This window comes from Homo sapiens, chromosome 5 (genome assembly GCF_000001405.40).
Source record: "Homo sapiens chromosome 5, GRCh38.p14 Primary Assembly".
NCBI lineage: Eukaryota > Metazoa > Chordata > Mammalia > Primates > Hominidae > Homo > Homo sapiens.
Genome location: NC_000005.10, coordinates 130,126,546 through 130,139,531, shown reverse-complemented (window position 1 = coordinate 130,139,531; position 12,986 = coordinate 130,126,546). Strand labels below are relative to the sequence as shown.

Genomic DNA, 12,986 nt, shown 5'->3' with positions numbered 1-12,986 from the left:
CTCAAAAAATTGCTTTTGTTCGATCTTCTAACAAAGTGTTGCTCTCCTCTTTTATGAGTGACAAAGATGTAAAGTTATCATACATACTCTAATCTGGAGCTCACATAGACTTCATGTCCGGCTAAAGTGTGACAGAGCCCACACTGCTTGCTCTGAACTTCTGAACTTCATATGATGGGAAAAATAATCACCTGCTGTAATTTCTACTTCTCTCTTCAAGGTTCATTCCAATGTGTCTTGCTAAACGGACCTCCTTGGGCCAATCAATTTCTACCCTTGGCTGAATTGATGTTTTAGATGATGTTTCAGTCAATGATGGACTGCATATATGGTCAGTGGTCTGGTAAAATTATGATGCAGCTGAAACATTTTTATTGCCTAGTGATATGATTGTTGTAATGTTTTAGGGCAACAAATTAACTTTTCTATGTTTAGACACTTTCCATTGTCTTACTGTTGCCTAGAGTATTCAGTACAGTAACTTGCTATACAGGTGTATAGCCCTAGGAGCAATAGGCTATACCATATAGCCTATGTATGTAGTAGGTTGTAACATCTATATTTGCATAAATACACTCTATGATAACCACACAATGATGAATTCACCAAAAATGCATTTCTCAGAACATATTCTCAGAATGATGCATTCACTTAAGGGACACATGACTATATTATTTTTAATAGTCTCATCATTGCTCTACTTTAACAAAAGGGATTTGGGTCCAACCTACTGGAACAGTATGAGCTCTTCAGTTAATATATCCTTATCTCATAATTTATCACCACTTTAGCAATCTTTTGCTGATTGCTAAATCAGATTAAGGGTTTATTCTCTATGTGGCCTCTATTATCTTTATATTATCCTTGCCAATTCCCAGCCTCATTTTAGCTCTTGAGCCAATACTGCTTCTGGGCATAAAGAATGAAATGTATTCTAGGCTAAAAATTCAGCAGTCTTGGCTGTCTGCCATTCTTTTAGTATCAGCTTTCTGTCTAACCTTCTTGCCTGTAGCCCACCTCCTGCCATTTAACTGGCTTCAGTTTCACATTTCCCACCTAGCTGGCTGGCCTCTGAGTTCCCTACATCTAAGCCATGCCCATCACCAGAACCATGTGGCCCTGTGGTCCTTCCAGGCTTGCTCCACCGGCATTCTGGACAAAGCCTGCCTACCCTGTATGACCTACCTTGCTGACAGCCTATGCCTACCTCAGGTCACAGCCTGCCCTTAGACGCCTGAGGAGATGTGTCCTTGGTTGGCTAGATATTGTCCTGGCTCCTGGTGCTGGCTCAGCCCTCGAATGGCTTCCTTAGCCCAGCTGTGCCTCTTTTGCTCCACACTTCTGCCCAAGGAGCTTCTATTCTTAAATAACATCTGTAGCAGGGATTGGTAAGCAAGAGTTACAAAATTGCTATGTCTGTCCTACAGAAATATTTTTCTTGAATTTTTTTTTTGTATTTTGTATTTGTATTTTTTGGCTAGCACAATATTAACACACAGAGTTTCTCTCTCTCTCCTCTTTTCCTTCCTTCTTTATTTCAATTGGCTACCAAATTTACAAATCAAAAAATTTCACATTAAAAAACCAAAAAAACAAAAACAGACTTCCAGCTGGCTTGAAGGTAGAAGTTGTAACAATGTTGGGTCCACATTGCCATATGGCAACATTCTGGACTCTTTAGATTGGGTATAAACTCCCTCCAGACGTTACAGTTGCTACTGTAAACAACTGTCTTCCTTCTCACACTGTAGCCAAATTTCCAGGATCTTGATCATCATGTTTGTCCTGTTGCCTTTTTCATAGGGAATATTTAAGAGAAAAATACTTAAATTTTATATCTAAGACTTAAGTTAATATATCCTTTTACTGTTGACTCTAATAAAAGTAGGAAAACAAATAGTTGACCTAGATACATGTTAATAAATAAATGAGAGTATATGTTTTAATGAAAGAGAAGACTATTCTTAGATGTTTAATGTGCAACATTTCTGACATACCCTCAATTAAATTCACGCATTCATATTATGCCCAGTGTCATTTAAGCTTTTAACCAATATATATAATATAGTGCTTCAGGGAAAAAGGATCAGGATGGCAAAATGATTGAAAACCAAGAAGATATACTGAAAATATTCGAATATTTAGTTAGAAAAGAGAAAACTTAGAAGGTCATAATAATCTTCACATACCAGATGAGCTGTCAGAAAAAAAGTGAACATGTTCTGTGTGGTTCCACAGGACTGATAAAGGAAAAGAGTTGTAGGAAGATGTATTTTGGTTGTATTAAATAGCATGGAAAACGACAGGATACAAGATCTTCATTCCCGGAGATGTGCAAACAGAACCTACAAAACATCTAGGAAATCTAATTTTCTTTCATCCCTATTATGTCTCATTTTTAAATAGTAGAAGACAATATATTGAGAGGAGTGATTTTTTTATTCTTAGCTCTCTCTGAAGACTAGAGATTTATATGTAAGGGAAAATACAGAAAGAACAAAGGTAGGAAACAGTTTTGAACATCTGATATTGTTTGGAGCCAGTGGAGACAAGAAACCCCTAACAATTTTGAAGGCACATGAGGCCTTTTAAGTCTTATTAAGCTTTGAGAACCCGAGATTAAAATAGGGAAGAAGTAAACAGACTCACTTATTGGTGATGATCTGGTTCTTGGGTTGGGTGGTGAATTCAATAACATTTATTATATGCTTTATATTTTAAATAAATCTTTATATTTTACCCACCAGGAATACTGGTGCATAAAATAACACAAAAATTAAAAAATCAAAAATTTTATAGCTCAAGTGTTACAAAGCATGAGATTCTGATTCAAATCTACTGGTAATTAAAATCTCTACTTCATAGGATTTTCTTCTTGTTGAATGACTCAGGAGTGAATAAAGTCCTGTCTTTTTAATTTCTAGAGAAATCTTAAACTATTATTTTCTTTCCATTATTCCTGCCAGTGCTTAGGTCTGTATCTCATCAGCTCATGCCTGGACTATTTCAGTAGCTTTTGAAATGGGACCACTCTCTTCTTTCTCAACTCCATCTGCTGTGCAGCTGCCAGAGTTAAAATTCACTTATATCACTCCCTGCCTCAAAACTTCAGTTACTCAAAGCTCCTCAGTATCAGCCTTCATGACTGTCCCTTAGGTTTCTTTGCAACCATCCATACACAGTACACCCCAGTTTTACCAAACTACTTACAGTTTCCCAAATACATTATGCTGATTTTTGCCTTGGAGTGACTTATTCCTTCTTCCTGGACCTTTTCCCACTTCTCTACCTCTGGCAACCACTCCACTTCTCTAGCTGGCTTAATATCTTCCCGTATTAAAATTAAAATCAAGCATTACCTCCTTGGTGAAGCCTTTCTCACTCTGACTCCTATTTAGCTATGGTAGATAACCTCTTCTGGATTTCCACTGTATCCAGTGTACACCTTAATTATTCAACACTTTGTCTTAAACACTTCGCTTGTTTTCTTTAACAGCTTTAACGAACACAAGGGTCTGGGACTTTTCTTAGTGAATTTTAAACACATGGCATAATGCCTAGGAAATGAAGGGCCTTCAATAAATATTTGGAAAAACAAAAGGAAAATTAACATTCTTAATTTTGGTTTATTGGTTATATACAGTCTCTAAACAATTATATACGCAAAATAATAATGGATTTTACTTATTTCTTTTGAGACTGAAGATTAGTGAGGGTAGCAAAACAATCTTCTACCTCTTTTGCCTTTATTAGGAAATATATAATCAAGACATGGTCCCCACTGAGACACACGGAGTTATTTCCAGAGATATGAGTCATGAGTTCAACATGACTGGTAAAGCCTGAAAGCTTTCTCAACATTATTTCAGTGAGTTTTGACATGCAGGGAAACCCATTCATTGTGATATGGAGAGGCAGAGAAAAATGATGGTAACAAAGAACAAAGGAAATTGAGTTTGAGACTGTGAGAAGTAATGAAGGAACATGACTGGTGTGGGCTTTAAAGTTAAATTAAACAAATGAAAATATAAGAGAAAGGAATTAAAATTTTATTTCCAACGGTTAAAATGCTTCCCAAGTCTGATTTTCTAAGGATAAACCTCAGTATCTTTTCAGTGACTCCACTTGGCAGTCCTTAAAATAATGAGGTAAATGAGGTAAATCTCTATTTGTTAGTGTACAGTAAGTTTAAAGAGATGTGATTGAGTGAAAGAAAACTAAAGTACAGCACAGGGTGTGTGTGTGTGTATATATATATATACACACACTTATTAAACTTATACATATTATATACACAGACATGCATATATGTTTGTGTGTGTATACATATATGTATGTATGTATGTATACACACATATATTTAATATACCTTCATATACAGCCATAAAGAAGGGACCACACATATACAACTGTATGTATGTTTAAAAATATAGACACGTATATATGTGTGTGTATATCTGTATCTATACTATATCTATATCGACACTATAGGTACACAAGGTATTCAAAGTATATGGGTACCCTGTGTACCTATATTCAAATAATATGTCTCGAAAGATAAGATTCACAAATGGGTGACTGGGGAGTGAGCTTTAAGATTCTGATATTGGAGAAAAATACACTTCTTGTTGTTTACCTTTTTGTAGCTTGTCAATTTTAGACATATGAAGCATAAAAATTGGGGGGGGTGGGAAGTAAAACGTGAGAGTGCAAGTAAATAAAACCAGAGATGATGGTGCAATTTAACTATTAACTTTATTTTTAAAAATTCTATGCTTCAGTTTTCTTTGCCATCTAAACACTTTGTGTGTAGAAAAATGATGCAAACACAAAACAAAACTACATTAAAAAATTGAAACCTTCTATCTCAAAATCTTAAATAATCAGTGTAGCAGTAACAACAGTAATTACTAATTTCAAGATGATCAATGGTTTTTAGGAATAGCATATTTAAACCAAACTAAGTCTCTCCTCTCAAGAGATAAAGTCCCTGCTCAGGAGAGTAAATGTGTTCAACATATGCATATGGAATGCTATATAAGATCATGATAAGATATTACAATTGGTGAATGTCAACAGGATTCAGAATAATGCTACATGTTTTTGATTATTACCTGCCATTGTCAAAGAAATGATCCTAAACTTTTTTTGTGTGCTACCAAAATATCTTACTTTTATAATATATTTTGATGTCTAAGGCTCCTCTTCTAAAGTTTTAAAATGTATGACCTTTCAAATGGAAACCAAAAATAGAATGAATCACATTGTTCAACCATTTGCAAAAAAATCACCACACATACCAGTGTAGTAATAACTTGAAGATTAGAAGCATGGACTGCATGCAGAATCAGACAAACCTGGGTTTGAATCCAAATCTGCCATTTACAAACTCTGTGACCCTGAGAAAGCAACATCACTTCTGTAAGCCTCATTGTCCACTTAAGTAACAAGGCAAACATATCTCACCAGGTTGCTTAAAAAATTAGTGGAAAAATGTAAATAATACGTTAAGTCAAGTCAAGAAAATACAATTAATATTATAGTAACAATACTTAATAACTGTTGTTAGAATAATCTGGTATAGTTTTTATGAAATAACTGAAAATAAAAAATTAGAGTTAAGCAACATGAGGAAAGTGGGTATCATAATAAAGGGAATGTATGTTTGGGAGCAAACATAAACCAGTTTTCTTTGCTGCTCTCTCTCTTAGGTTGACAGCCTTTTTTTTTTTTTTCTTTTTTTTTTTTTTTTTTTTTTTTAAGACGGAGTCTCACACTGTCGCCCAGGCTGGAGTGCAGTGGTGTGATCTTGGCTCACTGCAACCTCCGCCTCCTGGGTTCAAGCAATTCTCGTGCCTCAGCCTCCCAAGTAGCTGGGATTACAGATGCATGGCACCACACCCAGCTAATTTTTGTATATTTAGTATAGATGGGGTTTTACCATGTTGGCCAGGCTTGTCTTGAACTCCTGATCTCAAGTGATACACCTGCCTTAGCCTCCCAAAGTGCTGGGATTACAGGTGTGAGCCACCACGCCAGGCCTTACCTTGTAAACTTATCTTGATGCTTAACCTCTTTTGAAAACCAGCTTTTAGGGACATAAAAAAGATTGTAATGGTTCACTAATTTCAAGATTATGAAAGCTAAAAGTATAAATTATGCATCCCACATGGCTACCCGGTAGTCATGAGTATCTATGCACACCAAGGGGTCAATTCCAAGTCTGACTAGGAGAAGAAAAAAATGCATTACAAGTAATCCACACAATTGTCTCATAGATGACTGAGAATGTAATGGAAACAATGTCATTAAAATTTTCTGCCTCTTGCCCTTCTCATGGTGCTGAGACTCTGAGTCCTTTTTATGTCTATGATGGAGAACTTTTTGTAAATTAGTATACAACCTTTTACATAAACATCTCAGGACACATCTCTCCAGCATGCCCACCCATATTACACAGATTTCCAACGAGGCATGGCATTTCTTATGCCCCTATAGTATAATAGTATAATAAATAAATACTTTCTGAATGAATTATGCCTACTGAAGAGGCTTAGAAAATATTAACTATTGCTTTTATGATGTCTTTGGTGAAAGATTACAGAAGTCTGATTGTGAGGCCAGTGTTAGGGTACTTCAGGGTTTCTCAACATTGGTACTATTGATGTTTGGGGTGGAAAATTATTTGTTGTGTGTGTGTGAAGAGAAACATCCTGGTTATTGCAAGATGTTTGGCAGCATTTCTGGCTTCTACTGACTAGGAGTCCCCCAATTATGACAATAATAAATATCTCTAGACATTGCTAAATATCTCTAGACATTGCTAAGTATCTCCTGGGTGGGAGACAAAATTGCCCTCTGTTGAGAACCACTGGGCTATCTGTATCAATCAAGTCATTCTTGCTACCCTAATCAGATCCAGTTGCTAAAACAGAGAGAGGATACTGTTAGAAAGCAGAAGGTCTAACTACTTATATCAACTGAGATTTTGTCACTGTGGCTTAAGGTACCAAGAATAATGTGTGATTCTATAATAACTTAGCCCATCATATTACATTGCAATAATTTGTTATTGTGGTTTTTGTTATACTTATTATTTCTTCTTGTTCCAGACTTTATGCTCTCTGAGGTCCATGATCACGTTTAACTTGTTCAGTTCGGCATCTCCAGTTCCTACGGTAGTTTTAGTTTCATGATAAATCACTTAGTATTTATTGAATTTATGAATGCACCAGGAATAACCATGCTTTTTCAGAGATTATCTCTGATCTTGAAGAGAGCTTAAAGTTGAAAGTGGAAAGCTGATTCACTCAAGTATTTCTTAAATGCTTGCTATGAGACACTCTGGGTTTACAAGAGTAAATATGTCTATGCCTCTATGGAGCTTACATTCTGGTGTAAGTCAAAAGGGAAAAGAGTATATTAGTTAACAGTAAGTTCAAAATGGGCTAAATGGTAGGAAGGAAATTAATTGAATAATGCTATAAGAATAGTCACATAGGGCTTGCTTTAAATAAGGTGGCCAGTGGGGGCCTTTGGGTGGAGGGAGGCACTGAGAGTAGGGAATCACAGTTTAGGTAAGACCTTAAAGATAAGGAGGCACTCTCTATGATACAATTTAGAAGTGTTCTCTGGGTTCTCTGGGACCAGTATGTGCAGTCCACAAGAAGAGGAGAGTTTGCTTCTCACATACACACATTGTTCCAGGCTCTGGGGCACAGTAGTGAAACAAGTAGACAACATCCTTATTATTATGAAGCTTACATTCTAGTGGATATCATGAGGTTGAACGGGTGGGTTGGCAATGACCAACTCTATAGGGCCTTTGAACTGCAACCTGTGATAGTTTACCATACAGGCTCTGAGAGCAACTACCTGGGTTTTAATCTTGGAGTCAGTAGTTATTGCCTGGATTAACTTGGACAGGTTTCCTGCATTTTCTGTGCCTCAGTTTCCTTGTCTATTCAATGACTATATTAGTAGTATTTACCATATAGGATGGTAGGATTAAATAAATAGATATAAATATTGATTATTAACTTTGGGCTTGGTAATAATGCTAAGTTTAAGTGAAAATGTAAGGCATTTCAAGGTTTTAAGCAGACGAGTGGTATGATCTGATTTACAATTTTAGAAGAGCTCTATTCCTTCTATATGGAAAGTTGAGTGGAAACAGCAGAGAGAGTCAGGAGGCTACTGCAGAAGGCCCAAGTAAGAGGCAACAGTGGTGTCTAGACAGAAAAGGCTTTTTAGCCTTTTAGATACTTTAGGGGAAATTGAGTGTGAAAAGTGAGAGAAAGAGAAGAATCCAAGAACACACTGTAGTATCCAACTTGACTCATTCAATGATTTCCTAAGGTGGAGAAGACTCTGAAGAAACAAAATTGGGCAGATATTCTATAATGTAATATTAACTGTTTTAGTTCAGTCCTTTCTGGGAATATGTGAGTAGATGATGAGTAAGCACTGGGCTATACAAGTGGTGAGAGTAAATGATATTCCTTAGGAAGATGTGTGGAGATAAAAAGGAATAGAGATGAAAAGCAAGCTCTGAGAAGCACCCTTAGTAATGGATCAGGGAATCCTGAGGTTATGGAGAATCATACCCAGATAGAATCATGAAAACAGAACCTGTCTGTGAGACTGACATAGGGAAAGCAGGAAACATGATACAGGGAATGTATCATTTCTTACAAACAATTTCTGCTACAAGTGGTTCACAGAAGTACTTATTAAAAGAAGATGAACACCTCTGTGGAGGTTTGTGGACCTGAGGGAGTAAAGGCAGTATGGAACATGAAAGGAAGGACAAAGAGAAAAGGGAACAGAATTATGATGACTGCAGAACCAGCTACAACAGCTCAGGCTATCTGGAGAAGAGACTGATGTCTATGATCAAGTGAAGTGCAGGAAGTAATGCTGACAGTGAACATCAACAGTTGGGGCATCTTCTGTAAGTCTTGGTCAAAGACTAGGAGAAGTTTTAGACTCCCAAGAAGGAGATGTGCCTGGAGGAAAGGCTCCTGCAAACCTAATTCTGGCAGATGAAAAGGAATGGGTTAGTGAAGTAATAAGAACCTGAAGATAAAATGTCTGTGGCATCTTAGAGATTGTGAAAGCTAGGGAAGGAACCTGAGATCAGAATTCCAGATATACACCATAGATTTAGGTATATGGATTTCAAAATGATTACATGGCAAGAAATTCTAGGAGAGGATGGTTCAGAAAAGTTTGGAAGTCAGAAATGCATAAACTATAAAAAATCTTGCCTTAATTGTGTGTACATCTGATGTCAGGGAAGAAAAATAGGAGAGAGAGAAAGAGAACTTAAGGGGGAATATTTACTGGCAGTAGTACCTTTAAAAATTAAATCATGCAAATTAAAAATATATATTTGGCCATTTGTCTATAAACTCTGACATCCTAATAGAATAAACAGTTTACAAAAGCTAGATTAGATTTAAGATACTTACATTCATCTGTTTCTAGTTCCCTATCAAATTTTCTTGGCATAAAAATTTGTGAAATTTAGTTATTTTAAATAATTGTAACGATATTTTCCTATCAAAAGCAAATTTCATTTTACTTAAGATTCAGAGGAAAAGTATGTCAAATGTTACATTTTATGAATACTAGTTTATATGTATACAGTGCTTGACGGCTTTTAGAGAACTTTCATGTGCTTTCTTTCGTTGGGTCCTTATGGTCACTCAGGCAATGTGGTTTCATCCATCTTTTACTGATAAGGAGAATGAGACTTCAAGTCTGCAGCTTCCTACAAGAACACACAACTAGAAACGGGCAGTGCGAGAGCCAGAATTAGAGCTTCTGAGAGATGGTCCATTGTTCTTTCCATTACAATGTTTTTATAACAAAATTTAAAATTATTTAATATTCATTTTCTAAATTGCTATGTATATTCATATTATTGTGTCTCTAAAGTAGGATAAAGGCCTAAAATTTTTATTAGTTTTATAAATAGCACAGTATAATCACATAAGGGAAAATTACCTGTCTTGCTACTTAGAAAGCTAAACAGGATAATAAATGTCTTGTGTGTTATAAATTAATTTGTGCCATATGAAGAGGAAGTATTTCCAACAAAGCTAAGTGATCCAGTTGCTCACCTAAAAGTTTGCACCTTACATATGTGCAACTAGTGGCATATCATGAGTAGAGATTCTGGCACATCATGTTACCACCATGGCACATCATGAGTAGAGATCTTTGTGAAACCAATCCTTTTAGAGCAATTCCACATTTTGGAGTGGCCAAATGTTGCTCATTAGATGGAAATGAGACCTTCCATCTAAGCTAAATTGATGATGCTATCTTGTATTAATGTTATATTTTGGGCATACTAAGTAATGGAGAATAATACAACAAAGACTTGTACACCATCCACAAATTGGTGCTGATTATCTTGAGGAAACTTGGCACATAGGACTTTCTGTGTCCACCCTAGTTTCTATGTGCATCACTAGAATTGAGCAGATAAATGTTTGCCTGAGCACATTTCCTACTGTATTGGCTAACTACAATAGCCATAACATTGAGCATTCTCTATGCAGACCTGTTGAAAAAAAGGAAAAAAAAAAAACCTCACATTTTTGTCAACATACACATGCCCATGATCTTACTTTGATGAGAAATAAAGTTCATTACAGAAATATTTTAACCCACTTTATAAAGGTATTATTGACATGCAAATAGCTGTCCATATTTAATGTATACAATTCCATGAGTTTGGGAATAAGTCTACACCTGTTAAACCATCCCCACCATCACAGACTTATACAAGGCCACAGACATATGTATGACCTCCCCAAATTTCCTACCATTCCTTTTATTATCATTTTTTGTGTTAAGAACACTTACTATAAGATGTACTCTTAGCAATTTCAGGTATGCAACATAGTATTATTAGCTATAGGCACTAAGCTGCATAAAGGATCTCCACTTATCTTGCATAATAAAGTTTATGTTGTTTGACCAGCATCTCCCCATTTCCCTCTCCCCTCAGCCTCTGGTAATTACCATTCTACTTGCTCCTATATTATTTAACTTAGATTCTACATATAAGTGGGATCACTAGGTGTTTATTTTTTGTGTCTGGCTTATTTCACTTAGCATAATGTCCTCCAAGTCCATCCATGTTAGCACAAATGGCAGGACTTCCTTATTTTTTAAGGCTGTATACTATTCATTATTTACACATACACACATACATCATAACATGTATATATGCGTAGATGTGCATGCCTGAGCATGTGAGCGCACACACACACACACACACACACACCACATTTTCTTCTTCCACATCTTGGCTACTAAAAATATTTTTTAATCTTGTTCATCTCTTGAGAGAATTTTTGAAGGAGATATATTTGTTTTTCTCTATGAGATTTTGCTATTTTCATTACTCAGTATGTGTTCATTGTTAGAAATGAAAAGATTTTCTTGGAACAAGCACAAAACATTACTTTTTGTATTAAAATATCCATAAATATAAAGTTGGGATATAATTCCTTCAAACTTTGTGAATAAATTAAAGTTGCAAATTGTCAGTGAAGCAGTAATAATTTAGGTACATACTTCCTTACTTGGTTGATAAGGTGCTGAAACTGTACCTTGCTGCTATATTTTAAAGCATATATTTATAGAATTGAGAACTCTAATAGTGCATAATCATAATAAAGCATCCCACACTCTAAAATAATATTCTTTAGAATAGAACAAAACCTTGTTAATTCATCTTCATGGAGAAAAAGCACCAGAAACAGGTTTTAATCCTTAAGAAGCTGATGGTATGATAGCAGTTTCAACATCAGGAATTTCTGATTGACCTAAGTTTGAGTTCTTATTACCTTTGTGACTGTTTAGTTTTCCTAATTTATGACTTAACAATGGTCTAAGTGACATGAAAATAAAATAAAACAAAGTGCCTTTATCCATGTATTTACAGCAAATGACTGCTATCAGATCATAACTGAGAGCAAGATATGTTCTAGAACGTTTATGGTATTATTAAAGAGAAATTAGGGTTTAGCAGAAACAACATGGCTTAGAGTCAGACAGACCCAGGATGCAACCCAGAATCTACATTTACTAACTAGGCCAGTGTCTTAGCCTCTCTCCTTTCCTTTTTCTTCAGATTTTACAGGAGGATATGCTTCTTCACTTGCAGGTTGTTTTAATGCTTAGAAATAATGTGGGGAAGTGTCTGGCACAGAGCATGGCATGAAATAGGGGCTTAATTTGGAAATATTATTGGTATAATTACTCACAGATTGAGATTGAGAAAGAAAGGCTAAGTCTATGATGATTGGCTCAAGAGAAAAATGTGGCATGATCTACACTAAGTCATGTTACGGCATTTTTGTCCATTACAGTATATTGATAATATACACTTGGAAAACAAAGCTGCTGTTTGATTCAGATTAGATTCCCAATGGTGTCCACATATGTATCAGAGGAAAATAGATACAGCCTTTCCCAGGAGATGCCAATATCTTTCATGTCTCTGAAAGATGTTTCACTTGGTGCAAAGCCAAAAAGGATTAGCATAGCCACACAGGCCATGAGCACCAGAAACTCAGCAAGGCCCTTGCCTGCATCTGTTCAGAGTCAGACAGAGGTGGCTCACTAATGGGGTATGAACCAAAGGAAAGAAAAACAATGACAATGTGACCATAAAGTCTGGGTTTATGCTTTTCATTCTTGGATAATTATAGAGGCGCCTCTTTTATTCTTAAAGTGTCTTGGTTTATATGATATTATATAGTCATGCTACCACTAAATTATGTGACAGAAAAGCTCCAAAAATGAAATGAGAATGATTCGACCATTCAAGATTTAGTCTACTAGAGAAAAACATAAAATTATAAGATCAACATGCATTTTTCAGTTTATAGACTGAGCAAGGTCTCTCTGTTTCTGTCTCTCTCTTTTTCCTTTCTCTCTCTCTCTTTCTCTCTCTGTTGCTT

General features: G+C 35.8%; 1 protein-coding gene across 6 annotated transcripts in view; it reads right to left on the bottom strand.

Moving 5' to 3' along the window:
* The window catches only part of CHSY3 (chondroitin sulfate synthase 3), a 282,656-nt gene that overhangs the window by 47,103 nt on the left and 222,567 nt on the right, over positions 1–12,986 (bottom strand). The gene's annotated exons all lie outside the window — the stretch shown is intronic.